This window comes from Homo sapiens, chromosome 14 (assembly GCF_000001405.40).
Source record: "Homo sapiens chromosome 14, GRCh38.p14 Primary Assembly".
NCBI classification, from domain to species: Eukaryota; Metazoa; Chordata; class Mammalia; order Primates; family Hominidae; genus Homo; species Homo sapiens.
In genome coordinates, this window is record NC_000014.9 from 99662264 (window position 1) to 99688414 (window position 26151).

Consider the following 26151-nt stretch of genomic DNA (forward strand, 5'->3'; position numbering starts at 1 on the left):
GGGAGGGCTTCACAGAGGAGGGGACATCTCTAAGCAGGGCCTGGAAGTATTAATAGGTGATTGACAAGCAGCGATGGGAGTAAGGAGCAAGGTTAGCATATTCCAAAGATGTTGGAGCTCCAGTGCTTGGCAGGTTCTGAAACCAGTGAGCTCTTGAAAGCGCTGTGCCCTCTGTAGGATCCAGTGGGCTGGATTGCATTCAGCGGGCAGTAACCAAGCCGGTCTTGTTCGTTCCTGTGGGTGTCTGGTAGGTGCTGGGTGAAGATTGCACACAGTGACAGCTTCATGGACATACCACATGTGCAGTCACAGAGGGCCCGGTACCCAGAAAGGTTCACCCTTGATCTCATGCTCTGTGGTCACCATCTTGAATTCTTAATATGTTTTGGACAAGTGACCCTGCATGCTCATTCTGCATCGGGCTCTGCGAATTGTGTATGGTCCTTGCATGGATCAGTGGGTGAGTGGATATGTAGATGGATGGTGGAAGGATGGAGGGAAGAAGGGAGGGAGGAATGGATACATGGATGGATGGATGGATGGATGGATTGGTGGGTAGGTTCCCCTGGGTGCCATGCCAGGCATGGCCTCACAGCTCATCTTCCTTTGCAGGCGTCTGATGTCCCTCCAAGAGAACCCAGGGACAGGCCAGTGGCAGTACAGTGAGATCTGCATGGGCCACGGCCAGACCTGTGAGTTCCCAGGCCTCATCAACAACTACTACCCGTACATCATCTCCTTCGGGGAGGACGAGGCCGGTGAGCACTCCTGAGACCTCTCCTTGCTGGTTGCTCGTGCCTGGGACTGGTCCTCCACCCTGTGGTCCTTCTGGTCTCTGATGTAGGGGAAGGACCACACAGGCCTGAAATTAGTTCCCACCTGGGATGTTCCCTGGCTCCAGACGTGCATGTGCCTCTGTTACGGAAAGGGGTCCCAATCCAGGGCCCAAGAGAGGGTTCTTGGATCTCACGTAAGAAAGAAATCGGGGGAAGTCCATAGAGTAAAGTGAAAGTAAAGGAATAGAAGAATGGCCACTCCATAGACAGAGCAGTCCCGAGGGCTGCTGGTTGCCCACTTTTATGATTATTTCTTGATGATATGCTAAACAAGGGGTGGATTATTCATGCCTCCCCTTTTTGGACCATATAGGGTAACTTCCTGACGTTGCCATGGCATTTGTAAACTGTCATGGTGCTGGTGGGAGTGTAGCAGTGAGGACGACCAGAGGCCGTCTTGGTTGTGGTGGGTTTTAGCCGGCTTCTTTACTGCAAACTGTTTTATCAGCAAAGTCTGTATTTTGTGCCGGCCTCCTATCTCATCCTGTGACAGAATGCCTTAACTGTCTGGGAATGCAACCCAGTAGGTTTCAGCCTTATTTTACCCAGCTCTTATTTAAGATGGAGTTGCTCTGGTTCACAGGCATCTGACACCTCCTCATGCGTCTTCACCTCTCTGAGCTCCCGTTTGTTCCTATGGAAAATGGAAGTAGTGGCCCCTTTCTTCCTCTTACCCCCACCTCACCCTCACCCTGGGTAAGGTTGCCATGAGCTTTAGTCTAATAACATGGGTAAGCGTCCATGCCGGTTAGCCGGCCAGGAAGGATCTGGAATGTTGGAAATGCAGGCAGGTGTGGAAGAGAGCCTCCCCAGAGACCTCCCCTGGCCTGGAGCTCCTGATGGCAAATGGATTTGGGCCATTCAATGAAACCACATAATTATTTCAAAGCGGGTGGACACAGCCTTCTTGCCGGTTAGTGGGTCCTGAATCTAGGCACTTGTCAATGCAAGGGACAGAGTGGGAGGGGAGAGGAAGAGGGGCCTGGAGACTGGATCCTGCTCCAGCCTCCTGCTTTTGTCCTTGGCCCCGGGTTGTTCCTGGACAAAAGCCCAGGGGCCCCCAGTGGGCCCTAATGGATGCTTATTGGGGTTGCTAGGCAACGCCCACCCAGGGGCCTTTGGAGGGGTGTCCCCTGCCCGGCTCAGTGCCCAGAGCCCCCAGGGCTGTGTCTGGGAAACCTTTGTTGAACCGTCAGAATCTGAATTTCCAAAAAGGCAGCCCCCAGCCCCCACAGCCATTCCTAAGCCCTCTGGGCCCTTGAAAGCCCTTTCTTTTGGTCAGTAGGGGGTTAATGTGTTTTAGAAGCAGGGGTGCCCCTCCCTCACAGAGGCAGGGCCTGGAAGGAAGGTACAGTTCCCAAAAGGCTGTTCCTCAGCCCTCTGAGTGACACCCGAGTGTGGAAAACCAGGAGGAGGCACCAGTGAGACTGGCGGCCCAGGGACAGCTCTGGCAGTGGCCTCTGGACAGCACAGAGCCCGGAGCCCTGGGGTCCAACGCAAACAAACCTTCCCCCTGCCCTCAGCTCCCACTTCTGCTTCTCTAATTGTTCCAACACTTGCAAATTACAAAACAAGTACCTCTGCTGGCCCAGTGTGCTCTAGGGACAGTCCACACCACAGAGACCAGGAAGGTGGCTCAGTGTCCCACCAAGGGAAAACATCCCCTTTGCCCTCTGAAAGTTCATGGAAAACCACTGACAAGGGGCAGATTCCTGGGAGAAAAGGCACACAAATGCATCCTGTCACAATGACATGACACAGGAGCCCTTGGAATGAAGACCCAAAGATACAGGGGAAATTGTCCATTTTTTTTTTCTTTTTTTTTTTTTTCCAAGACTGAGCTTCGCTCTTGTTGCCCAGGCTGGAGTGAAGTGGTGCAATCTCGGTTCACTGCAACCTGCAACCTCCACCTCCCGGGTTCAAGCGATTCTCTCATACCTCAGCCCCCGGAGCAGCTGGGATTACTGGTGCGTGCCGCCACACCCGGCTAATTTTTGTATTTTTTTTAGTAGAGATGGGGTTTCATCATGTTGGCTAGCCTGGTCTCGAACCCCTGACCTCAGGTGACCCCAAAGTGCTGAGATTACAGGTGTGAGCTGCCGCGCCCAGCCGAAATTGTCCATTTTTATGCTCAGGTGCAGCAGAGTATGGACAGCTGTGCAGAAATGTGATTGGACAAAAAGGTCCTGACCTTATGCTGATTGAGTGGGGAGGGCCAGCACAGCCTGTGTGTCTGGATTCTTCTTGGCCTCTCTGCGCATCAGTCCTTCCTTCTGGGTATGGGGCTGTCTCTGGAATGGGGGTCTTATGACCTGCAAATGGTCAAATGGGTCAGATCACCTCTTCCTTTTTTATTTTTGAGGTAGAGTCTTGCTCTGCTATCCAGGCAGGAATGTGGTGGCGCCATCATGGCTTACTGCAGCCTCCAACTCCTGGGCAATCCTTCTGCCTCAGCCTCCCAAGTAGCTGGGACTTCAGGCACATGCAACTATGCCTGGCTATTTTTTAAATAGTTTGTAGAGATGGGGTCTTACTGTGTTGCCTAGGCAGGTGTGGAACTCCTGGGCTCAAGTGATCCCCTGCCTCGGCCTCCCAAAGTGCTGGGATTACAGGCATGAGCCACCATATCTGACCCAGATAATTTCTTTTTTTGTTGTTATTGTTGTTGTTGTGGGATTTTTGTTTTTGTTTGTTTGTTTTGAGACAGGGTCTCGCTCTGTCGCCCAGGCTGGAGTACAGTGGTGTGATCTCGGCTCACTGCAACCTCTGCCTCCTGGGTTCAAGTGATTCTCATACCTCAGCCTCCCGAGTAGCTAGGACTATAGGTGCGCACCACCATGCCTGGCTAATTTTTGTATTTTTAGTAGAGATGGGGTTTCACCATGTTGGCCAGGCTGCTCTCAAACTGCTGACCTCAAGTGATCTGCCCGCCTTGGCCTTCCAAAGTGCTGGGATTACAGGCGTCAGCCACCATGCCTGAACTCAGATAATTTCTTTATGGCCAGTTTTACACAGAAAGGTTGGGGGAGAGTTACAATAATATTTTTAGGTTCTATGACTGGCTTTGGGGGAAATGTGTGCTGGTTTCTACGATCTGCCATGGGAAAGAGAGATTCTAGTTTCTATGGCACCTCGGGGGAGAACAGGACTGAGAGACGGGAGGACAGGCGAAGGTCAGAGAAAAACTTTTGCTTCGGAGGCAGCTTCTGAGGCCTTCATTTTGGAGCATTGTTTTCTGAGTCTCAACAGCAGCCCTGGGCGGGCTTGGCAGCATCCGCAGGGGCTCCCTGTGTGTGCAGAGGGTTGGGGGCTACAGCTCCCAGCAGATCACGGCTGGAAGGGGCCTTGCAGTCTGCCTGGTCCAGCCTTGTCATTTTACCAATGGGGAAACTGTGGCTGACTATGAACGCCTGGTTATGGAGGAGGGGCACCATGCCCAGCCTGGCCCCTGGACACCTCCCAGAGTGGGGCCTTAAGGTCGGTTGGCCAGATGAACCAGGGAGTTCCTCAAGGGGTTGGAACAGAGGAGACCAGGGCTGCTCCTGGTGGCTCACTCCAGAAAGAGGCCCAGAGGGGAGTGGACGGCCCAAGGCTGTGTGGCCAATTTAGGGCTGTGCCCATGGACTTCTCAGCAGGGACATTCCACCCGGGGACCCCCAATGCTGCAGGCTGCATCATCACCATGTGTGCCTACAGCTCCTCCCCCGACCTCCCCAGTGGGACTGGTGCCCCTGGGTTGGGGGGTCAGGGGCCATTGACCACTCAGCGTACTGCTCTCCTCATCCCCCAGCCCCATCACAGCTGGGTCTACCCCGGTTACACAAGTTACCCCTCAAGTGCCTTCCCTTTGCACTTCCCAAGTTTCCTGTGCCTTGCTTCTCAGACCCCACCCCCATGCAGCCCTCCCTGACTGCACCTGTCCCCAGGGATATGCTTTCCTCCAACCTATTACCAAGCTGTCTGTCTCAGCCTCTCCGTGGGGAAACCCCCCTCCCTGCCCCCAGTCCAGCTGAGCTCTCTGCTATCCTTTTACAAGGACAGAGGTATTAGCATGGCTGAACCCTCAGGATGAGCCATGTGTGCCTTGTGTCTGGGCTCCCAGCCACCATGCATCCAATATTGGTGTGGGGCTGGGGCAGCAGACTTTCCTGAGTTCTGGTCCTGGCTTAACCATTCACTAGCTGTGTGACTTAGGACAAGTCACTTGACTTCTCTGAGCCTCTTTTTTTTTTTTCTCAGCTGTGAGGTAGGAATAATGCAGCCTATTTTCTGGTCATAGGTGCCCCTGGCAGCAGGGGTTGGGAGGGAGGATTGGAGTGGGAGGAGCAGGGAGAACCCACGTTCCCTGAGACAGTCCTCAGCACCAGGGGCTCAGAACTCCAACGGTTACATTTTCAGCGCAGCTCTGAGATGGGGAGAAGTTGAGGCTTAGAATGGGACCATCACACAGCTGCTGGAGATCACAGGGGGCCAAGCAGAGGGGCTAGGACCTACACTCCCAGCCATGTACTCTGCTCCTGCCTGGGAGGTGCTTGTTGTCAGCAGAGAGACACCCTGGCCTCGAGGACCTGGCAGGGCCCAAATCCCGGATGACGCCTGCAATCATAGCTAGCTAATGCTGATGAAGCACACGCTCTGCGCTCTTCAGTCCTTATAACAGCCCAATGAGGCATGCCCATTTTAGAGATGAGGAAGCTGAGGCTCAGAGAGCCACATGTGCCTGCGGGTCCCCTGGAAGCAGTTGGGGAGCTGGGCTGTAGCCCCCTCATGTGCGCCCAGAGGTGTGTGGGGCTGGGCATGAAACCCAGGTAGGTGACAGGGGTGGCGCTGGGTCACCGGGAAAAGGCAAGAGCAGAGATCTGAGCCTGGGTGGGTCCAGGCAGAGTGCCTGACACCCGGAAGACCAGGCTCCAGAGGCCCTTGGGTACAACCCAACTCCTCACCCAGCCTCACTTCCTCTTTCTGGGGACTGGACAGCTAGACTGAGCTGGGATGCCTCACGTGATGGCTAGCTGGGGTTGGGGTCTATTTCCAAGCCTGCAGGGAGCCGGGTGGTGAGGCGGGGCTGGCTGGGACGGTATTCCAGGTGGGGGTCTCACTAGTCACTTTGTTCTGTCCAAAGGGGAGCTGTACTTCATGTCGACAGGGGAGCCGAGTGCCACAGCTCCACGCGGAGTTGTCTACAAAATAATTGACGCATCCAGGTGAGTCCCAGCCTCCAGGACAGGGAGCTCCTGCTGTCTGTCAGGCCTCTTAGCTCCACGGGCTTGTCCCCTCCGCCTCGCCCTCAGGTGGGTGGTATTAATCCCCATTTTCAGACAAGAACCCTGAGGCCCAGAGAGGGACGTGATTTGCCTCAGTTCCTCCGGCAAGGGGCAGACCCAGGATTCAGACCCGGGTCTGCACGCCTCAAAGCACAGGTCTATTAGGATAGGAGGGAGCTGGAGAGGTGACTGGGGCCGCGGGCCGAGGCTTCACTTGGCTTTCTTGCCTGGCCCGCCCTCCCTGCGTCTTCCTCCTGTCTAGCAGGCCCCTCATTCCTCATTTCCTGGGCTGCCCCTGCACCCCCACACCCCAGCCCCCAATTTGCCTCTGTGATGCCTCCCAGATGACACCCTGATCCCTGTGTGTCCCCGCCCCGTGCCTGCCCTTCCTCCTGTGGTCCATCTTCCACTGGGGAAAACACATTGGGGCTCCCTTCGCCGGCTCCATCTCCCCGGCTTCCCTTCTAGCTGTAAGGCCAGAAGCGCCATGCCCGGCTATGTCCCAGCTCCTTCCGTGTGCAGCTCATTGACGTCTCAGCCGTTCATTTTACAGTGGTGGAAATGAGCACAAAGACACGAAGTCATGGGCCTGGGGCCCAGGGCCAGGGTGGGGCCCAGGCCACTGGCTCCAGAGCCCTGCCCTAACCCCTTGGCTGTGTGCCTTCACCTCACCCTCTTCAAGCACCTTCCCCAACCCACGTTGCCCTCCAGGCCTCTGTCCAGCCCTTCCTCAGCTCTCATCACTCAGACTTGGTAATCCCTGGGCTACACGACTGACTCTCTCCCAGCTGCTCTGGGAGTCTCAGGGCCAAGCCTGTATCTCTTCACTCTGCAGAGGCCGCCCAGGTGCTGGGAATGGCACGGAGCAGAGACTCAGGAACACTTGATGAATAAATGAGTGATCAGCTTTCTAAGCTGCTTCTCAGCCCTTAGATTTTCGCTTCTCTGCTGGCTTCCACAGCAGTCTGAACGTCTCTTCAACACTGGGTACGGACACAGCTTGTACTTGTCTCTAACGCAAGGCCTGAGGTTGCACTCCGAGAATCCACACCTTTGGCAGACTCTAGGAGTCCCCACTGTGTTTAGTTACCCTAAACTTTGAGACACACCAGGTTTGGGAAAATCCTGAAACAAGCTGGCATGTTTCACGTTCTTGGGAGGCAGATGGGAGGAGTTCAAGTCCAGCCCGGGCAACACAGGGAGAACTTGTCTCTAAAAAAATTAATTAATTTTACAAAAAGAAAAATTCTAAAACACTTATTGTGCTTAAAATCTTTTACACTGGGCTCAGTGGCTCACACCTGTAATCCCAGCACTTTGGGAGGCTGAAGTCGGAGAGTTTCATGAGCCCAGAAATTCAAGACCAGCTTGGTCAACATAGCAAGACCCCATCTCAACAAAAAATTAAAAAATTAGTCTGGTGTGCTGGCGCACATCTATAGTCCCAGCTACTTGGGATGCTAAGGTGAGAGGATCACTCGAACTCAGGAGGTCGAGGCTGCAGTGAGCTATGATCGCACCACTGCCCTCCAGCCTGGATAACAGAGCAAGACCCTATCTCAAAACAAAAGACATTTTAGAATAGTTTCAGATTTACAGATAAGTTGTAAAAACTACAGTGTTTCCTGTATGCCCCTTACCCTGTGTCCCTTATTATGAACACCTCACATTACCATAGTGTACATGTCAAAATTAGTCAACTAGTATCAGTCCATCACTATTAATTAAACTCTACAACTCCAGTCTTTTACTTTTTTTTTTTTTTTGAGACGGAGTCTTGCTCTGTCTCCCAGGCTGGAGCGCAGTAGCATGATCTCAACTCATTGCAACCTCTGCCTCCCGGGTTCAAGTGATTCTCCTGCCTCAGCCTCCCGAGTAGCTGGGACTACAGGTGCCTGCCACCATGCCTGGCTAATTTTTGTATTTTTAGTAGAGATGGGGTTTTGCCATGTTGGCTAGGCTGGTCTTAAACTCCTGACCTCAAGTGATCGGCCCACCTCGGCCTCCCAAAGTGCTGGGATTACGGGTGTGAGCCCCCACGCCCAGACTCCACACTCTTTTTCAAAGGATGTTTCTAGTTGTTCCCCAATGCCCTTTTCCTGTTCCAGGATCCTGTGTTGCCTTTAGTGGTTGCGTCTGCTTAGCTTTCCCCTGTTTGTGTCAGCTTCTCACTTTCCTTGTTTACCAGACTTTTTTTTTTCTTGTTTAAGAGCACACATAAATTATTGACATGACTTTTTATCAAATAAAACATAATCACTTCCTGCTTCCATCCCTTCCTTCTCATTTCCCTGAGGTCCCATCCATTGTTATCTATGCAGCGCCAGGATTTATGTGGTTGTATTTGGATCACACGCAGACTTGGTTCTTTTTCCTTCATTTATGCCCATTTTGTCTAAACGTTGCAAACATCGCCCTCCAAAAAACCATTTCTAATGGCTGCTTGATTTTCTGCTGAGTCACTATAACCCATTCCTTGGAATTTTAGGTTATTTCCAATTTTCAAAAAAGAATGCTCCTCTGAGGAAATGCTACATATACCAAGTGAGTGCCTAATTCATGCCAGATGTTGCCTTAGAGCCATCATCTTCGGTTTTTCCAATCCCGTTTCCCTATTGGCTTGTTGTCCCCATGTCATAGAGAGGGACCCCAACGAGACTTAAGGAGTTCTCTCGCTCACGGTCTTGTGTTAGGAGCCAGAAGTGGGCTAGATTCCTCCTCCCGCCCTGACCCTTCTCCCTTCATTCTCCTGTCTTGGAATAACTGTTTCTTTGCACCCACACATATTACACAGAGGTCCCATTATAGTACATTTGGAAAATGAAATAAATGGGGAGTGGAGGAGGTAGGGTCAGGTCATCTGTTACTACCCACACGTAACCACTGTGGCATTTTGGGGTGGATATCCTACCCTTTTGCATAACAAAGACTTTTAATGCAATTTCCTTAAGGAACAAAAGCCCCACTGGGTCTGTCTGAAGTGTGTGGATGTTCTCTGGAGGTCAGAGCAAGAAAAAAACCTCGCTTTTCCTGCAGCTTTGAGAAGCGTATGTGCCTGGTTGTGTTTCTGCAGCCTCTGGGGACAAAGACCCTTGTCCCTCTTTTGTGTCCCTCTTCGGCCAAGCCTGTCTGGAGGCCACTCCGTGTCACGTGGCTGCTTCACCCCTTGGCCTTTCCACTGGAATCCTATTGAAGTCGTGGGCCCACGTGGGTCTGTCCTGGAATGGGGTCATTCCCAAAGAATCACAGATCGACGGCCAAAAACTAATTAAAACGGAATTCCATTCCCTATTGTGCCCTTAAAAATGTCAAAGGAGACCCAATTCCTAGCCCTGGCACCCTTCTCTGACTCTTTTGTCTCCCTGCTCTCTCACACCCCACATGCCAAGGCCCCAAATCCCTCAGCTCTGCCTCCAGGCACAAGGCTTGCTTTCCTTACCACCCCCGCCGCCCCCGTCCTTTAGGTGGTTCCAGGCAGAGGAGCCTCTCAGATCCTGCATCAGAAATCCAGGAACCAGAGGGGCAGAGAGAGACCCTCCTCAAAGGCTGTAGGGCTGGTGGGAGAGGGTGGCGGGCAGGAATCAGGCTGCATTTCAGGAATCAGACGGCAGGCTGTGGGAGGAGAGAGACTGGCATTTGTTCACACCCTGAGGACAGAGTCCATGCTCTGGATTAGAAATGTCCTGGGAAAGAGTAAGCCTCCAGCCCTGGTGCTATTCCAGCAGAGGCTGAGCGTGCAGCCGGTAGGCTGTTATAGGGGATTTATGCCCTGGAGCTCTTAGAATCCTGGGGGCATGGAGTGGGCAGGGAAGCTGCAGGCCACACAGTAGGTGCATGGTGAATGGCCGCCTGTTACTATCGTTGCTGTTCATACCTGCCTCACTGTAGAGAAAAGGCACCCTCAGGGTGGGCTCCCAGGGTGAGACTCATAACCTCCTGTGTGTCGTTGGCAGGCGGGCACCACCTGGCAAATGTCAGATCCAGCCTGCTCAGGTGAAGATCAGAAGCCGTCTCATCCCCTTTGTGCCCAAAGAAAGTAAGTGCCTGCCAGTGGGACACTGAGGGTTGGGGGAGAGATCCCGCAGCCCACAACGGCTGCCTTTCCAGCCAGACTCGGGTCTTACCAGCTGGACCTAGATGCCCCTCTTCAGCCCCTGTGCCTAGCACTGTGCCTGGCACACATTAGACATGGTGGTAAGGTGGATGGGACTTTAACTAAACTGGGTCTTGCTTGATTGGTCACAATTCCTTAAACCAAGAGAGAAATAGCTGGTGCCAGGCAAGGTACTCTGTGAGTTCTTGGGAGGGACAGAGAAAGAGGATGTATCTGTGTGTAAGCAAGGGAGACCGGAAGAGTTGTTTGTGGGAGGGGCTGGCATATGGGCTGGGCCTTCATAGATTGTTGACAAGCCTGATGAGGAGAGACGACAGAGCAGGGCCACAAATGACTGCCCATGGGGCCTGGGACTGGGGGAAGGGGATGCCCCAGGCTGGGGCTGTTCCCCTGGGCCCAAGTTAGGTGGGAACAAAGACCCTGTGTTGCCAGGTCTTCCAATTCTTCAGAGAAGCAGAAAATCCCCCCATCCACTCATTCACCACGGACACGTGCCCTGCCCTGGGGATACAGCACACGGCGAGACACTGCAGTCCTCGCCTTCTCAGCCTGTTAGGTACAACCTCCCAATTCAAAGTGTTGGCGACTAGTTCAGAATTTTAAAAACCACTCCGCGAGCCAAGGAAAATATTTCAGCAGGCCAAGTGGGCTCAGCAGGCCACCCATTGGCAGACTGGGTGTGTATGGGGGTGGGGAGGGCAAGAAGAGAGGGAGGCTAGGCACCTGGGCTGAAGAGGTACCCGGGTAGAGGGGGAAGGGTCTGAGCTCAGTGATTTTGGAAGTGAGTTCTGGCCACAGTTGGTTTCAGGGCTTGGTGAGTTTTTCATTTACTCATTCAGCAGTTTCTGGCACTTTTGTTAGTTACTGGCTCCATGCTGGATGCCAGAGCCACAGTGAGAAGTCAGACTAGGCCCTGTTCTGGCTGGGACGGACAGAGATGTCATTTACTGTCCAAGGCCTTGTGATCGAAGTGTGTGCCAGGTACCGTGAGGACCCACCCAGAACAGTGGAGACTGGGGTTGGGGGTAGGGGTTCCTGGAGTCTGAAAAGAAGAGGAAGGGTGCACCAATAGGGGGTTGCACTGAGGGGGGTGGCAGCTAGGGGGATGGCACTGAGTGGGTATGGCACTGAGGGGGGTACACCTGGAGGGGGTGCACTGAGGGGGATGGCATGGAGGGGGGGTGCACTGAGGGGGGTGGCACAGAGGGGGTGGTGCACTGAGGGGGGTGCACCTGGAGGGGTTGCACTGAGGGGGGTGGAATGGAGGGGGGTGCACTGAGGGGGTGGCACGGAGGGGGTGGTGCATTAAGGGGGGTGGCATGGAGGGGGGGTGCACTGAGGGGGGCGGCATGGAGGGGGGGTGCACAGAGTTGGGGGATGCACCCAGGCAGGTTGCACGGGGGGGTGCACCTGGGGGAGTGCACTGAGGGGGGCTGGCACCAAGAGGGAGGTTCACTCAGGAGGGTGCACCGAGGGGGGTGGCAGTGCAGGCAGAGGGAACAGCAAGAGCCACAGTGGGAGAGGTGAGGCAGCCTGAGGAGCAGGAGGTGGGGGCCAGGGGCCAGGGTGCAGGGACAGGGAGCGCCTTGCCCATGTCATGGTGCTCTGGGCCCTGGCCTGTGCTTGGCCTTGTGCTGAGAGGCCCTTTCTCAGCTCTCTCTCAGTGGTTTTCAAAGTGGGACTGGCTGAAGTGGGGCGGGATTAAAGAGGTTTGGCCTGGTGGCCCCAGGATCCTCCCCATAGTAATTGAACAGTCTTGGGCTGTGACGCATGGCAGTGCCCAGTGCCTGGCACTGCACCTGTGTGGAGTAGAGCTGGGCACAGCAAAGTGTAGATTGAGGTCTATCCCTGTGGCTGACCTGGGCCAAGCGTGTCCCCACATTCTGCAGAGACAAAGGAAATCACCTGCCTCAGCTCCCTAGCACCGACTGCACCCAGGCTCTGTGGTGGGGTATAGGGGCTCTGCCTTGTTCCCCAGACACAACCAGAGTTCCCCCATCGTACCCGCTGTGACAACCCGCTGGTGCCAACCTTGGGAACCAGGAGGAAAGAGATTCACCCTGACCCCAGGGATCCCTGTGTGTATCCCGTTCCCAACCTGCTGGCCACTGGCCACCACAGACCCGCAGCAGTTTTTACCCATCTGTGGGCCTCAGCTTCCTCACCCTCACAACCAAGGCCTGGAAGATGAAACGGTGACTTTCTCTTAGAAGCCTTCCCAGACACTCCTTCCTTTCATTGCCTTCCAGAGTTATGAAGTGCCAGGAGCTGGCTCCCCCACCAACCTAGGGACTCCTGGGAAGGTGGGGCTTGGGGTAGGGAGACGCAGCAACAGCAGACTGGCACAAAGCAGTTGATAGTGTTTGCTGTATGACTGAAAAAGCCCCTGGCCCCTGAGTCCAGGCCGGCATCTTGCTGGGTCCGGGTGACCTGGGAAGCACGACTGGGAGCGCAGGCGGCATCCCGTCTTCTGGGTGTGAGTGCAGGACAGACCCAGGACATCCTTCCCCGAGTCTGCGCTCTCCGCACAGGTTGCAGGGCAGCACAGGGTGGGCAGCAGGGCTGGACAGGGGCGCCTGGGTCCCTCTGACGGCATACTCTTCCTCTGCGCAGAGTTCATCCCGAAGACACGGAGCACCCCGCGGCCTACAGCGCGGGCGCCCACGCGGGCGCCCCGCCGAGGGCGCCCCACGGCCGCTCCCCCCGCGCCAACCCCGCGGCCAGCGCGGCCCACCCAGCAGCCAGGGAGCCGGAGGGGCGGCGGGCGGCGGCGGGGGCGGCTGAACTCGGCGAGCCGGGCGTTCCGGGATGGCGAGGTGCGCCTGGTGCGGCCCGCGGGCCTGAGCTCTGGCAGCGGGCGCGTGGAGGTGTTCGTGGGCGGACGCTGGGGCACCGTGTGCGACGACTCCTGGAACATCAGCGGCGCCGCCGTCGTGTGTCGCCAGCTGGGGTTTGCCTACGCCGTGCGCGCCGTCAAGAGAGCCGAGTTCGGCCAGGGCGGCTCGCTGCCCATTCTGCTGGACGATGTGCGCTGCGCGGGCTGGGAGCGGAACCTGCTGGAGTGCCAGCACAACGGCGTGGGCACCCACAACTGCGAGCACGACGAGGATGCGGGCGTCGTGTGCAGCCACCAGAACCCCGACCTGTAGGCAACACGCCGCTGCCCCAGGCCATCCCGCCGGCGGGGGAGCCTGGCAGGGGCCGCTCCGCCCTGTGTGCGCCCAGCGGGTGCACACGTGTTCTAGAGTGAAGGGGGTGCGGGTGTGTGCTGTCCTGGGGACATGTGTGAGGCGCTGCAGTGCATGTGTGTCCTCTGCAGACCCAAGGCAGGAGTGTGTGTTGGGGGCGGTGTGGGCTCTGGAAGTGCATGGTCCATCATGGGCGGGAGGAGTTCCTTTCTTACCTCCAAGCGTTTCAGACACCAGCAGGAACAGCAGCCGGGCTGTGGGACCCTGAGGAGGGAGGGCAGCCAGGCTTCGAGGACGGACATGGCCCCTGGCTGTGCTAACAGAGGCACAGCTTGCAGACTGAGGGCGGTGGGGAGAACCAGGCTTGTCCTGCCCACAGCTGGAATGGAAGGTGCAAGAACAGCCGGAGGGTGGCCTGAGGAATGTGGCCCGGACAGCATGGCCTGGTGCCCGCATCCCCCCCACCCCCTGGCAGTCAGAGGCGCTGGAGAGAACCGGAAGGCATCCAGTGGGGAAGGGAAAGCCTTCTGGAAGGTGGGAGCAGGGTGAGCTGCAGGCCTGGGGCCCCACTGGAGGGGCAGGCTGCGTGGAGGAGCCAGCACCTGCTCAGGGAGGATGGCTGTGAGGACTGGATGACCTCCAAGGCCGTATGCTGGAGAAGCCACTCAGCAGCATACTCAGTCCTTGTGGGTGCTCCTGGGATGGGACCAGCCTCCTCCAACCCTGAGGCCTGATTCTCTCTTGCTCTTGGGGCAGAAGCCACCCACACTAGCTGGGCAGAGCTTTCACCCTGGCCCTCCAGTGAGTCGGTGGGCCTCCACTACTTTCAAAGCTGTGTTTGGGCCCTGGGGCCACCTCTGTCCTTTCCATCCCCATCCCTGCTCAGTGTAAACCCAGGAGACCTGATTCCTCCAGCCCTACCTCGGGGCTGACCAGGCTGGGGGTCCAGTGAAACTACTGACACTTTTTCACCCAGGGCTATGCCAATAATGTGGCTGTTTACACACCACTTTCCTGCCTCCTCTCTGACCTGCACCTGTGTGGGAGCCGGGGTGGGAACCAGGAGAAAGGGGTGAGGCCTCCCGCTTCCCACCTGCATCACAGGTGGAAGCTCCTTCACTCCAGGGATGCTCGGCCCTGGCTCTGTGCCAGGCCGCAGAGGGGCACTTAGTATGACTGCGCTCAGCCTCGGATGGGAGCACGGGTGGGGGGTGGGTAAGCAGATGAGTCACCAGGCAGTGAAGACAGGATGTGGCCCATGTCGGGGGTTGGAAGAGGTCTGGGTGGGGCACCCAAACCCAACCTATGGGGGGGCTTTGGGAGGGGGTGATGCTGTGCCAAGTTCTGGGAGCTGGCACCAGGGGTGGCTGGGCAGGCCTTGGGGCAGGCATGAGTCTGGCAGGGTCTCCTAGCTGCTAGTATAGGGTCTCCTAGCCACTAGTATAGGATCCTGGGCTGCAGCAGAAAGCTTTAGGTCACTGTCTTGGACTCCTCATACTCTGTGCTTTACAGAATGGGAAACTGAGGCACACAGAGGTTAGATATCTTAGGGCACCAAGCCAGGGAAGGGAGAAGTCAAGTTTGAATACAGCAGCTTAGTTTAGAGTCCCCGCACCCTAACCACTGCCCTCCCCAGCTACACTATGCCTGCAGAGAGCGGTGTGCTGGGGCTCCTGCCTGGTGTGGGAGTGCCAGCCTGGCTGGGAAGCAGCTGATGGAGATCCCTGGGGGCTCCTCTTGCCTGGCAGGTGCCCCCGCTGCTGGCCTCATGCTCCTCTCGGGCCTCCAGTGGCCCAGGGGAGGTTGAGTGGGCATCTTCCTGGGATGCAGGGGAGTTCTGAGCTCTGACGCCGGGCGTGTTAGGAGATAGCAGGCCGTTAATGACCATCCCAGCCGAATTCCTCACTGTGCAGATGAGGAAGTGAGCTCAGGGAGGCTGAGTGTCCCAGGCCTGTTGCCAGATGAGGCCACGCTGAGACTGGAGCCAGGGAAGGTGCAGCAAGCCTTGAGGCCCTCAAGAATGCAGCCGAGCCAGGGCCCTGCTTGCCTGGCCCCAGAAGCTGTTTTGCTCAGAGCTGGATTAGGAGGGTTGGCAAAGGGAGCTCTGGGTGCGGCCTCAGGCCCTCCAGTACTTCTCTGGGCAGTTCGGGCTTTGGCCTTCAGTCTTCCAGGCCAGGCGCTCTTCCTCCCCAGCCTCCAACTCATCACCTCTCAGGCCCCAAACCAGGCCTGGGCTAGGCTGCAGCCTGCCTCCTGGGGACTCACTCCACAGTCCCCAGGTCAGTGGTCCCCAACCTTTTTGGCATCATGGACTGGTTTCATGTAAGACAATTTTTCCATGGATGGGGGTTGGGGGGATGGTTTTGGGATGAAATGTCCCACCTCAGATCATCAGGCATTAGATTCTCATAAGGAGTTCACAGCCTAGATCCCTCGCATGCACAGTTCATAGTAGGTTTCATGTTCCTATGCGGATCTAATGCCACTGCTGATCTGGCAGGAGGCAGAGCTCAGGTGGGAATGCTTGCTCCCCACACTACCCTGCCCCACTGCCACTCACCTCCTGCTGTGTGGCCCGGTTCCTAACAGGCCACCCATCAGTACTGGTCCGTGGCCCAGGGTTTGGAGACCTCTGCCCTAGGTAGTAATAAGAGTGGACAGCTGTTATATGTAAATACTTGTTCCCCGATGCTGGAAAGAAATAGCACTAAAACATAAATTTAATTCTTTCAGCAAGGCAATTTTACTTTCTGCAGAAAGGGTGCTCATCGCAGATGGAACAATAGTGAGAGGACACCTGAACAAAGGAGGGAAGCAATTGTTAGCCCTTATGCAGTTTGTCCCTGCTACTGTGTCCTATGTCCATTGGCAGAAGCCAGACCGCACAATCTAAACTAAAACCCGATTGGCTGTTTAAAATTTTTCTAAATAGGTAAAAGTAATGGAAGGATAAAGGAAAAGAGGAAGTTGCTTACGAAAGGACTTAGAAAAGTAATAATATTCCCAAATAAGGAAGGGGTATAGGCTGTGAGCTGGGACATGCCTGTGAGCACGTCCAGCACAGATATCTTGGTTAAAGTATAAGGACATAGAACGTACTATGTGCCTGTGAGCACGTCTAACAGTTACATAGAATAGGGCTTGACAAAGAGTTATTAGCATAAAGCAAGGAGGTTTGAAGGAAGTTCGTCTTTAAAAGAAACCATTATTTCTAACACTTACGATTTATTCTTTAACAAGAAGGGAAACTTTCAAGAGGAACTTTTACTTTCTACAACAGCTGACCTCTGCTGAGCGCTTACTACATGCCAAGCACTGCTCTGAAAGTTTAACATACCATTCACTCATGTAATCCTCATATTAATGCACATTTACTCACGTGGAAGCCGAGTTCCAGGGCATTTGTCACTTACCAAATGTCACATAGCCAAAATTTGAATTTGAGCCCAGGTAGTCCAGCTCTGGGACCCTGCTGTGGGCCTTCCTGCTGGGCCACCTCAAGGGCATTGAAAGCCAGCCCCACCCCACTGGGACACAAGTTCAGAGAAGGGCAGAGCTGGCTGCCTGTCCAGTGCTTCTTTCACTCCACCACCTACAGCTGGCCGCTGAGGGAGCATTCACATGTGACTCTGTCCCCAGGGACTCCGATCTTGCCTTAAAGTCCTCCAGGGCCTCTGAGGATGGGGGCACAGCCTTCACCCTCACCCCCTCTAATCCAACCTCTAGTCAATAGCCAGGATCAGATTCTCAGAGAGGGGCTGCCCTGCCCAGTGCCACACAGCTTAGTGCTGGAGCCTCAGGGTCAATGCTGCAGGGGTGGCCCAGTGTCCAGGACTGTGTTCAAGACATCAGTCAGAGGTCACAACATCCCAGGCCCTAGACTGAGCCTAGGGGTCACCATGTTGATACCTTAGAAATGTTTGGGAGGTTCAAGGAAGCTGGAAACTGGGTTCCAGTCCTGGCTCTGTGCCTCTCTGAGTCTCATTGCAAAATAGAGGTCACCAGAAGGATTACTGGATGAAAAATGAGGTAGCATTGCAGACGTGCATGGCACGTACACTCTAGGTTGCTTCCTAGACAGAAAGCTCAGTTCGAGGCTGGTGGCATCCATGCTGGCAGCAGCCAACTGTCTGCGACAGAGTGAGGAGGGGCATGCCACGTGAAGGACCAGCATCAGAATGACATGGGAAGAAACTCTCACAATAGCAGAAGAAAGAGCTCCTTCAGCCTAACATGTAGAACTCAAGTCTTCTTGTCGCGCTTCTGTCCCCTCGCCCCTCCTCCCCCACTGAGAACTAGCTTTTACTGAGCAGTTATTACATGCCAGCTACCTCGGGTGTGTCAGCTCATTTAATCTTGACAACAGCTCCACGAGACACCCTCAATATCACTGTCCCTGTTTTCCAGATGAGGGGACAGATTCCTAGGGTGTTATGTAAGTGGTCCCCGGGGCTTTAGAGGCAGGTTTGCACCAAGGCCCATTCTCCCAGAGCCGGATCCTTCTCCTTCCCTGGGATACAGCACCTCCACCCTGCCAGGCCACCCATGTAAAGGCAGCCAATTCAGAGCCACCTCTTATGCCTGCATCTCCCCAACAATTCCTGCTGGGAAACCACTCCTCGTATGGTGTCATCTACACCAGTGGGTTTCAAGCTTGAGAAGAATCAAGTTCTACAGGGCTGCTTAAAACACAGGTTGCTGGGTCCTGTCTCTCAGAGTTTTTGACTCAGTCTTGGTTGAGAATTTTCAGTTCTAGAAGCTCCTGGGTAATGCTAATCCTCCTGTTCTAGGGGCCATAGTCATTGTCCATACTGGTGCTATCCAATAGAAACATAATGTGAGCCAAATAGGTAATTTAAAATCTGCTTGTAGCCATGTTAAAAAAGTAAAACAGGTAAAATTAATTTTAATAATATATTTTATTTAACCCAACATATTCAAAATATTATCATTTTAACAGGTACCTATATATAAATATCAATTTTTTTTTTTTTTGAGACAGGGTCTGGCTCTGTCACCCAGGCTGGAGTGCAGTGGTCCCATCACTGTTCACTGCAGCCTCAAACTCCCAGGCTCAAGTGATCCCTCCACCTCAGCCTCCTGAGTAGCTGAGACCACAGGCATATGCCACCATGCCTGGCCAGTTTTTTTGTTTGTTTGTTTGTTTTCATTTTTTGTAGAGAAGTGGTCTCCCTATGTTGCCCAGGCTGGTCTTGAGCTACTGTTCTCAAAAGATCTATTGCCTCCACCTCCCAAAGTGCTGGGATTACAGTTGTGAGCCACTGTGCCTGGTGACCTTTTTTTTCCATTCTTTTTTGGTATTAATCTATGATATCTGGTGTGTATCTTACACATAGCACATCTCAATTGGACTAGCCACATGTCAAGTACCAGAAAGCCACATGTGGCCAATGGCTGCCACATTGGATAGCTTACTCCAGACCCTCCAGTGAAGGAGCAGGTGGTTGGCCACGTGCTTCCAGGCAGCGCTGCCCACCCAGGAAAAGGGCTTTCAGCCCTGGGACCTGGAGCCTTGGTATGCAGCCTGTGTTCCCTTACCTGATCACAGGATAGCTGGGAGCATCAAATGAGGTGGTGATGGGACAGCTGTGGGCTTGGTGCCTAGGGAGAGGGGAGACTGTTGGCTCACAGATGGGAACGGCAACTGCTCTGGAAGTGCTGCTCCTGGGGTAAGCCATGGTCATGTTGAGCCAGAGATCACTGGTGCTGCCCGATGTGTCAGAGAAGACGTATGCCCACTCCTCTCCTTAGCCGTATTTGGAGAGGTTCACGCTGACCACTGCTCCCTGATGCTGCTCTACACCTGCTTTCTGTGGGGCTCCAGGCTGTGCCTGGAGCTGTTCAGGACCTGGCTCTTCCCTCAAGGAACTGTGACAGTAGGTAGTCAGGCAGACATGAGCAGGGCAGGAGAGGGCCCTCCCCCAACGAGGAATGTCAAGTGGCCATCAGATGATGGTCAGGCAGTTGATAAACTGCTTCTCTCAAATAATAATTGGTCGCAGCCAGTGCCAGGGAGAGGCAGTCTCCCAACAGATGGAAACACCTGAAGCTGGTGATCAGCTTCCCGATAAGATCTCAGGAGCTGGGCGAGTGGGCTCAAGCATGCACACTAAGAGGCAAAATGGCAGCGATTAACTGGTAGATGACCTTCCTCTAGGAACACCGGTAAGGGAAAAACACCTCAAATGAGCGCGCACATAACTTCAGTAAACACAGCTGTGCATTCGGCCCCTCCCAGGTGCTGACAGGCCACCGCGCACGCAGACAGCCCGCCCCAAGGGAAGAATCAGGGGCGAAGAGAGATGCAACCCCCCGGGAGCATGCCAACCTACAAAACCCCGAGTCAAAGGTCAAGCCACACACTTGCCTCTCTCAAGTCACCTGCTTGGCCCTCTTCTAAGTATACTTTACTTCCTTTCATGCCTACTCCAAAACTTTTTTTTTTTTTTTTTTTTTTTTTTTTTCTGAGACGGAGTCTCGCTCTGTCACCCAGGCTGGAGTGCAGTGGCGCAATCTCGGCTCACTGCAAGCTCCGCCTCCCGGGTTCACGCCATTCTCCTGCCTCAGCCTCCCCAGTAGCTGGGACTACAGGCGCCCGCCACCACGCCCAGCTAATTTTTTGTATTTTTAGTAGAGATGGGGTTTCTCCGTGTTAGCCAGGATGGTCTCGATCTCCTGACCTCGTGATCCGCCCGCCTCGGCCTCCCAAAGTGCTGGGATTACAGGCGTGAGCCACTGCGCCCGGCCTCTAAAACTTTTAAATACATTTTCACTCCTGCTCTAAAACTTGCCTCTCACTCTGCCTTACGCCCCTCAGTCGAATTCTTTCTTCTGAGGAGGCAAGAACTGAGGCTGCTGCAGACCCATATGGATTTGCTGTTGCTAACAGTACCATTGTTCCAGGGGTCTGGAGAGACAAGGCAAGAGAAAGTCCTCTTCAGACAGTGCGATGCACTGTGTAATCTCAGGGAGCCGTTCCACAAACTGGATACTAAATGTGATGCCGTCACATTTCTTTTCTAGCTAACCACCCCAACCCACCTTCCAGTGCGCAGGAATCCACACCCTCCTTCTTGCAGCCTCATCCTCCCTCCAAATTGCCCTCAAGCCCCGGAGCTTTCACAGCCCACAGGGGACCTGGTGGCTCCGTTCCACACCTCACCCCAGCAGGGCCAGCCTGAGTTACCCTGTGGGCCTGCGGCTGCCTGTCACCGCCGCCACACGGGGGCGCCATAGCAAGCCAACATCCCCGAGTCCAACTGGGCGGCCGGGCCAGGCGCCGGGGGGATGGATGCTCTGCTGCCCACCTGTCCAGGCTGCGGTGGCCCCGAGGGCAGAAGTCCCGCCTCCTCCGTGCTGGGCACGGCTCTTAAGACTTGGCCGTCTCCGTCGCCCCTCAGCCCACACCCCTAACAGCCATGTCCCATGTCCCTAACTATACCTGGGAAGGCGGTACCAAGGTCCCCTTCGTTTTCCAACCCCCAACCTCTCCAGGACTGGCTCAAGCGTGGGGCAGGGGCATTGCCTCTTCTCAGAAACCCAGCAGCATCTACACTCCCTGGGCCTCTACCTCCAGCCCGGGGGACCTTTACCTGGGCTAGGAGTGGGCACACCTGGCCTTCCCCTGCCACGACTTTCACGCTGGGTGGTCCCTCGGGATAGGAATTGGGAACTAAAACGCCCAGAATTGGCCTCATCTTCATACGGGATGGGCAAGGAGACGCGGGTTACGACAGAGGGGGAAGCCCTGGTCATTATTTCGAAAATACCTTCTCCTCCGCTACCCCCGCCTCCCCGGCACATTTCCCGCTTTCCCTGGAGGGCGGACCCAGATTTTCATCCCTCCAACTCCAACTCCTTCGGGCCTGAGCCAGCGCCTCAGATGGGGCTTCGCCTGGTCTAGGAGGGTCCGCAGGCCCCCGAGTCTCTGGGAGAACAGCCTCCGGCCACGCCGTGCGCTCTCGGTCGCAGACACAGGCGTCCCTGGGTCCCGCAGGATCCTGCCACCAGCCCGCGGGCCCCGCTGGCGGACCACGGGCGCTAGGCGTGGACTGTCCGGGCGGAGGAGGCGCCCCGGGGCAACTGGAGAACAACTTTGGGGGTCTGGGGTTCCAAGGAGAAGTTTGGGAACAGTCGGCGTTATGCGGACTTTTGCAGGCTGGGATGGGGTTTCCGGGCAGGTTTGGGGGAAAAAGGAAGGGGCCTAAGACCGCGCGCGGAAAGATGCCGTTATTTGGAGGCGCCGAAGCGGGCGGAGCCAGCCAGCAGGACTTCGCGCCGCCGCCGGGCCAGAGCGCTGAGGATCGGCGTTGCCAGGGACAACGCGTTCTGGGCGGAGCTGCTGCTGGGGCGGACCTGAGTCTGAAGAGGTGGGGGCGGAGCCTGGGGGGCTGAGCCAGAAGCGGAGTTGTGATTGGTGAAGACCACATGCTCGGGGTGGGGCCTGGGCTGGGGCGGTGTGGAGGTTGGGGCGGAGCTCTGGGGGGCGGGGCGGGGCGGGGGAGGGCCCGGAGCGCCGGAGCCGGAGGCGGAGACGTGGTTGGCGGGGACTGTGCGCCCTGGGAGGGGTCGGAGTCGGCGGGGGCGGAGCCGAGCGGGCGGGGAGGGTGCTGGGTCGCGCCTGGCCTGGGGCCGAGGCGGCGCGCGGCGCTGACAGCTGAGTCGGCTCGCGGCCTCCCGGCCCCCTCGGCGCCCGGCCCGACCCTGGCCTGGCCTGCCCTGCCCCGGAGCCATGAGCCCCGGGCTGCTGCTGCTCGGCAGCGCCGTCCTGCTCGCCTTCGGCCTCTGCTGCACCTTCGTGCACCGCGCTCGCAGCCGCTACGAGCACATCCCCGGGCCGCCGCGGCCCAGGTGAGCGGGGCTGGGGGCGGGGCCTGGCTGGGGTGCTGGGACTGGGGGCCTGGGGACAGCGTCTAAGCCGGCGTCCAGGCCGGGGGTCCGGCCTCGCCTAGTGCGCGCGGCCGCTGGGAGTCGGCGGCCCCGAGAGGGGCGCTAACTATTCTTAGTAACAAATTACTCACAGCCGCAGCAGCTGCTGGGCGCCCACCGCGCACAGCTGGGCCCCACAAACGTGATGGCAGCCACAGCCCTTTCAGGTAGGCGCTATTGTTAACCCATCGTTCAGACGAGGAGACTGAGGCGCTCAGAGGCGAAGTCACCTGCCCAAGGTCACACGGTTGGTAAGCCTAGATTTAAGCCCAGGTCAGCCTGCCTCCAAAGTGGGCGCTGTTAACTTTGGGACTTGGACAGGGTCAGCCTGGATTGGAGCACGCTGTACTTCAGTCATGTTTCCTTTTGCTTGTATTTCTGTTCTGGGACACCCCATTTGTCTTCTCCTTAGTACTTACAATTGCATTCTTGGTCCCCACCCCCACGCAACTTACACCCCCCTCAACTTGCCAACCCCCCCCCACCCCCAGCTTAGCTTTGTGAAGCTTAAATTAAATGTGTCATTTCCCTGCTCCAAGGGCTTCCCATCACTTGACAACTAAATGCAGTTCTAAATTAAGTCGGCTGCATGGCCCGCGAGGCCCCTGCCGAGCACTCAGAACCCACTCTGCAGCTTGCTCTTTCCTCTTGCTTTCTCACTACTGCCCCCAGCCTTTCTTCTCCCAGCCTCCCCCTCCCCCCGCCCCCCCCGCAGCTTCCCTCCCCCCGGGTCCTTTTCTCAAGCCTGGGCCTGGCGGGCTTCTTCCTCTGCTTGTCTCAAACAGGCCTTGCCCAGCACCTTGTGTAAAGACCACCCAGCCCCAGACTTCTCAGGGGCCATCACCTCTGAGGTTACCTTCTTTCCACCTGTTGACTGTCTGTTCACCTGTTGACTGTCTCCCCCTCTAGAATGTGAGCCCCGGGAGGACAGGGACACTCTGTGTTCGCTTGTGTATCCCCAGTGCCTGGCGTGTTGCAGATCTCAATAAATATTTGTTGAATGAATGAATAAACAATTGTATTAGACACACTTTTTAAAATCTCAGGACATGAATATTCTGGAAGGCACCCATCTCCAGCACAAGCCAGATGTACTGGCGTTAGAAGCCTGAATCTCTGCTTGATGGGTTCAGGAAAGATCTCTGTGGCTGGTGACATAGGGAGGCACCTGTTCTCCCTGCTGGCTCTCTGCCCTTCTGGTGCTCTCTCTCTCTCTCCTTGCTTAGCTCCTCTGCCTTCTACTTTACCTGGATGCTTCTTCCCCCAGCCTTCCAGGTTTGGCTTCAATGCTAACTCCTCAGGGAGGTTCCTCCTGCTCCCCCAAAAATATTATGTTCATTTTATAAACCCTGAAATCACTGTAATTTTCCTTTACAGCATAATGTTAATTGGGCAATTATTTGTGCAAGTTTTTCCTAAGTGTCTCTTTTCCATGGGCCCCCTGTCTGTCTCAGTCACTGCTGCATCTCCGACATGTAGCAGCACATTGTACATGCATAGTAGACACTCTATGAATAGCAATTCAAGGTTGAATGGTGGAAATCTCCCGTGAGTTCCGTGGTGGACACTATCACCCTCTCAAGTTTTCAGAGAAGCCATCAGCACTTAGAATTGAATGAGTTTGGTGCTTGTTCTGATAAGTTTCATCGTTACTTGGTCTTCTCATAAACTCAAATGACCTGTTCTGGTCTCTGTGTCTTGAGAAAGCAGAATTTAAATCATCTTAAAAAAAATTGAAATGTAACTTGCATTCCACAAAATGTATTCTTTAGTGTATGATTCAGTGGTTTTTGGTACATTCACAGCACTGTGCAGCCATCGCCACCGATTTCAGAACTGTTTTGTCACCCCAGAAAGAAACCCCGTACCCATTAGCCATCACTCCTCATTTTCTCCCACCCCTCACAGCCCTGGCAACCATGAATCTGCTTTCTGTCTCTGTGGATTTGCCTGTTCTGGACATTTCATATAAATGGAATCATACAATATGTGGCCTTTTGTGTCTGGCTTCTTTCACTTAGTATAATGTTTCAAAAGTTCATTCATGTAGTAGCATGTATCCTTATTGCTTTCCTTCTTATGGCTAAATTCTTCCCAAATCTTATACCACAGAGTCTACATGTGACCTGAGTGTGTGGGGTGCGGAGGGAGCAGTGGGAGGAAGATGAATATAATCATGATTGGGCTATTTATTCTAAGGAGGTGAACTGAACAATGCATATATAAAAAGATTTTGGATTAAAAATTGGTTAGTGGTCAAATATAAAACTGCACTAAATGAAAGTTCTGGAAACTCTTCTAGCAGAAACCCGATGCCTTGACATTAAAAGCCTGGATCTTTAAACTATGATTGGCGATACTGTGGTTGACGAGAGATCTGTGTGTTGAGTCTCCAGTAGTAGCATTTGCCCCCGGGTACCCCAGGGCTTTGCCAGCTGGCAGGCAAGGAACCCTCTCGCTGCAAGAGGCAACTCTTCATCTTCCTCATTCTACAGGAGGCCCTCCCTCAGTGCCCCTCCTCTGTGCTTTTCTTACCACATCCTACTGCACCGATCCGTGTAACAGCTGAAAACTCAGACCCCCACACTCAGATCCCACACAAACACCTGTAGCTTCTTTATTTCTCTGTCACTGTTCTAACTTCCCTCATCAGCCCCTACTCTCCTGGTAATGTGGGAGTGGATGTAAACTTGACAATGAAAGGTCTTTCTCTCCCAATTTTTATTTATTTGGGGATAAATTGACTCCTCCTGGACAGTTCTGGTTCCACTCCGATTTGCCCAGTTGCTGGGGTGGGGCTGTTCAGCAAGGAGCAGGGTGGCCAGCCATGGGGGAGCCCCACAGCTGGCTCTGGCGGGTGGTGCATCTGATGAGCTTTGGGTGCCCAGCTGAGCACTCGCCACCCTGCCCCTCTGGCATGAGCCACAATCATGGTCCCTCACCCTCACGCCTACCCCTAGTGGGTAGCCCGCTCCTCCACTACTGGAGCATTCCCTTCATCCCTCTGGGTGACTTCACTGTGGGCTCTCCAGATGGCCTCTCCTCGTTCACTGGCCAAGGTTTTCTCTGCCCACAGGAGAGCTTGGGTCCCCACTCAGCCAATCATGATGTTGCAGGAAACTGGATGTGCTGGAGAGGTGTGGGGTGGTGGGCGGTGGGGGATTGCCTCTCCTCTCTCCCAGGGCTGCTCTGCTGTGTCCAGTCTATCACCAGGGACATGCCAAGTGGGCTTCTGCCTGCCGGGGCGCTGAGCAACAAGTCCCCATGTCTGGCCATGGTGTTAGCCTTACCTGCTTGTTTTTAACACCTGGGTCTTCCTGTTCTGTTGTCGCCTCCCCAGCGCCCCCTGCAGGTGCCAGAAGGAATGGGTTTTTTTTCCCCTTTCTTGGTGGGCCATGAGGACCCCACCCCTCTCTGTGCCCTCTGTCTTCCTGAGATGGCACTCACCTTCCTTCCCATGTGGCAGGGAACCCCAGGGGTTAGGGTGGAAGCTCTGGGCTCAGACTCTGTCCTCACTTAAGTGACTCAAAACTGAGAACATTCCCCCAGAATGTGAGCTTTGGGAAGCGACAATGAGGACACTAGATTACTCTGGAAATACATCCAGGCATGTGTGATGATCACAGCCCATCTTCCTGCAAGTTCAAGGCCACTCACCTGGCGTGGGCCTCCACTGCGGGCAGGCGGCCACCCCGTACTTCCTTCCCCAGGGCGTTTATTCGCCTACTCTCCCTTCCTGCTTCAGTCCCCATCACCTCCCCCTCCATCCGCACTCTCAGCTTTTATTCTTGCCTCCTACT

At 55.2% G+C, this 26151-nt stretch overlaps 2 protein-coding genes across 10 annotated transcripts in view, besides 17 other annotated features; both read left to right on the forward strand.

The window, feature by feature from the left end:
• The window catches only part of HHIPL1 (HHIP like 1), a 76032-nt gene extending 57726 nt beyond the window's left edge, over positions 1 to 18306 (forward strand). For 4 of the 7 annotated variants that reach the window (XM_011537236.3, XM_006720277.4, XM_017021707.3 and 1 more), the window contains 4 exons: positions 613 to 758; positions 5959 to 6040; positions 10054 to 10136; positions 12828 to 18306. In XM_011537236.3, the coding sequence (XP_011535538.1) occupies positions 613 to 758; positions 5959 to 6040; positions 10054 to 10136; positions 12828 to 13363 (847 nt within the window). In that variant the 3' untranslated portion in view covers positions 13364 to 18306. Of the gene's footprint in view, positions 1 to 612; positions 759 to 5958; positions 6041 to 6568; positions 8076 to 10053; positions 10137 to 12827 lie in introns of those variants that run through there. The other 3 variants (NM_001329411.2, XM_011537237.3, NM_032425.5) reach the window with 3 other exon arrangements.
• Positions 155 to 656: an enhancer, noted in NCBI's record as "H3K4me1 hESC enhancer chr14:100128755-100129256 (GRCh37/hg19 assembly coordinates)". NCBI's record gives its function as "activates a minimal SCP1, AML or CMV promoter by ChIP-STARR-seq in primed H9 embryonic stem cells {active_cell/tissue: H9 hESC(primed)}" and the evidence as "EXISTENCE:reporter gene assay evidence [ECO:0000049][PMID:30033119]".
• Positions 657 to 1156: an enhancer, noted in NCBI's record as "H3K4me1 hESC enhancer chr14:100129257-100129756 (GRCh37/hg19 assembly coordinates)". NCBI's record gives its function as "activates a minimal SCP1, AML or CMV promoter by ChIP-STARR-seq in primed H9 embryonic stem cells {active_cell/tissue: H9 hESC(primed)}" and the evidence as "EXISTENCE:reporter gene assay evidence [ECO:0000049][PMID:30033119]".
• Positions 1777 to 2320: an enhancer, noted in NCBI's record as "OCT4-NANOG-H3K27ac-H3K4me1 hESC enhancer chr14:100130377-100130920 (GRCh37/hg19 assembly coordinates)". NCBI's record gives its function as "activates a minimal SCP1, AML or CMV promoter by ChIP-STARR-seq in naive H9 embryonic stem cells {active_cell/tissue: H9 hESC(naive)}" and the evidence as "EXISTENCE:reporter gene assay evidence [ECO:0000049][PMID:30033119]".
• Positions 1849 to 2143: a silencer, noted in NCBI's record as "tiled region #811; HepG2 Repressive non-DNase unmatched - State 20:ReprD". NCBI's record gives its function as "represses a minimal TATA promoter and a strong SV40 promoter by Sharpr-MPRA in HepG2 cells {active_cell/tissue: HepG2}" and the evidence as "EXISTENCE:reporter gene assay evidence [ECO:0000049][PMID:27701403]".
• Positions 2321 to 2865: an enhancer, noted in NCBI's record as "NANOG-H3K27ac-H3K4me1 hESC enhancer chr14:100130921-100131465 (GRCh37/hg19 assembly coordinates)". NCBI's record gives its function as "activates a minimal SCP1, AML or CMV promoter by ChIP-STARR-seq in primed H9 embryonic stem cells {active_cell/tissue: H9 hESC(primed)}" and the evidence as "EXISTENCE:reporter gene assay evidence [ECO:0000049][PMID:30033119]".
• Positions 2626 to 2675: an enhancer, noted in NCBI's record as "active region_9006". NCBI's record gives its function as "activates an Ori minimal core promoter by ATAC-STARR-seq in GM12878 lymphoblastoid cells {active_cell/tissue: GM12878}" and the evidence as "EXISTENCE:reporter gene assay evidence [ECO:0000049][PMID:35858748]".
• Positions 2746 to 2845: an enhancer, noted in NCBI's record as "active region_9007". NCBI's record gives its function as "activates an Ori minimal core promoter by ATAC-STARR-seq in GM12878 lymphoblastoid cells {active_cell/tissue: GM12878}" and the evidence as "EXISTENCE:reporter gene assay evidence [ECO:0000049][PMID:35858748]".
• Positions 5456 to 5615: an enhancer, noted in NCBI's record as "active region_9008". NCBI's record gives its function as "activates an Ori minimal core promoter by ATAC-STARR-seq in GM12878 lymphoblastoid cells {active_cell/tissue: GM12878}" and the evidence as "EXISTENCE:reporter gene assay evidence [ECO:0000049][PMID:35858748]".
• Positions 6814 to 7355: an enhancer, noted in NCBI's record as "H3K27ac-H3K4me1 hESC enhancer chr14:100135414-100135955 (GRCh37/hg19 assembly coordinates)". NCBI's record gives its function as "activates a minimal SCP1, AML or CMV promoter by ChIP-STARR-seq in naive H9 embryonic stem cells {active_cell/tissue: H9 hESC(naive)}" and the evidence as "EXISTENCE:reporter gene assay evidence [ECO:0000049][PMID:30033119]".
• Positions 8297 to 8896: an enhancer, noted in NCBI's record as "OCT4-NANOG-H3K27ac hESC enhancer chr14:100136897-100137496 (GRCh37/hg19 assembly coordinates)". NCBI's record gives its function as "activates a minimal SCP1, AML or CMV promoter by ChIP-STARR-seq in primed H9 embryonic stem cells {active_cell/tissue: H9 hESC(primed)}" and the evidence as "EXISTENCE:reporter gene assay evidence [ECO:0000049][PMID:30033119]".
• Positions 8897 to 9498: an enhancer, noted in NCBI's record as "OCT4-NANOG-H3K27ac-H3K4me1 hESC enhancer chr14:100137497-100138098 (GRCh37/hg19 assembly coordinates)". NCBI's record gives its function as "activates a minimal SCP1, AML or CMV promoter by ChIP-STARR-seq in primed H9 embryonic stem cells {active_cell/tissue: H9 hESC(primed)}" and the evidence as "EXISTENCE:reporter gene assay evidence [ECO:0000049][PMID:30033119]".
• Positions 9499 to 10098: an enhancer, noted in NCBI's record as "H3K27ac-H3K4me1 hESC enhancer chr14:100138099-100138698 (GRCh37/hg19 assembly coordinates)". NCBI's record gives its function as "activates a minimal SCP1, AML or CMV promoter by ChIP-STARR-seq in naive H9 embryonic stem cells {active_cell/tissue: H9 hESC(naive)}" and the evidence as "EXISTENCE:reporter gene assay evidence [ECO:0000049][PMID:30033119]".
• Positions 12830 to 13393: an enhancer, noted in NCBI's record as "H3K4me1 hESC enhancer chr14:100141430-100141993 (GRCh37/hg19 assembly coordinates)". NCBI's record gives its function as "activates a minimal SCP1, AML or CMV promoter by ChIP-STARR-seq in naive H9 embryonic stem cells {active_cell/tissue: H9 hESC(naive)}" and the evidence as "EXISTENCE:reporter gene assay evidence [ECO:0000049][PMID:30033119]".
• Positions 13957 to 14520: an enhancer, noted in NCBI's record as "H3K4me1 hESC enhancer chr14:100142557-100143120 (GRCh37/hg19 assembly coordinates)". NCBI's record gives its function as "activates a minimal SCP1, AML or CMV promoter by ChIP-STARR-seq in naive H9 embryonic stem cells {active_cell/tissue: H9 hESC(naive)}" and the evidence as "EXISTENCE:reporter gene assay evidence [ECO:0000049][PMID:30033119]".
• Positions 14521 to 15083: an enhancer, noted in NCBI's record as "H3K4me1 hESC enhancer chr14:100143121-100143683 (GRCh37/hg19 assembly coordinates)". NCBI's record gives its function as "activates a minimal SCP1, AML or CMV promoter by ChIP-STARR-seq in naive H9 embryonic stem cells {active_cell/tissue: H9 hESC(naive)}" and the evidence as "EXISTENCE:reporter gene assay evidence [ECO:0000049][PMID:30033119]".
• Positions 20530 to 20599: an enhancer, noted in NCBI's record as "active region_9009". NCBI's record gives its function as "activates an Ori minimal core promoter by ATAC-STARR-seq in GM12878 lymphoblastoid cells {active_cell/tissue: GM12878}" and the evidence as "EXISTENCE:reporter gene assay evidence [ECO:0000049][PMID:35858748]".
• Positions 21840 to 22419: a silencer, noted in NCBI's record as "silent region_6068". NCBI's record gives its function as "represses an Ori minimal core promoter by ATAC-STARR-seq in GM12878 lymphoblastoid cells {active_cell/tissue: GM12878}" and the evidence as "EXISTENCE:reporter gene assay evidence [ECO:0000049][PMID:35858748]".
• Positions 22035 to 26151, forward strand: part of CYP46A1 (cytochrome P450 family 46 subfamily A member 1) — a 43004-nt gene continuing 38887 nt past the window's right edge. For all 3 annotated transcript variants that reach the window (XM_017020933.3, NM_006668.2, XM_011536364.2), the window contains exon 1: positions 22035 to 22273. Coding sequence is in view for 2 of the 3 variants with exons in the window: in NM_006668.2 (NP_006659.1) it covers positions 22155 to 22273 (119 nt within the window). In the remaining variant the exon portion in view is untranslated. The remainder of the gene's footprint in view (positions 22274 to 26151) is intronic.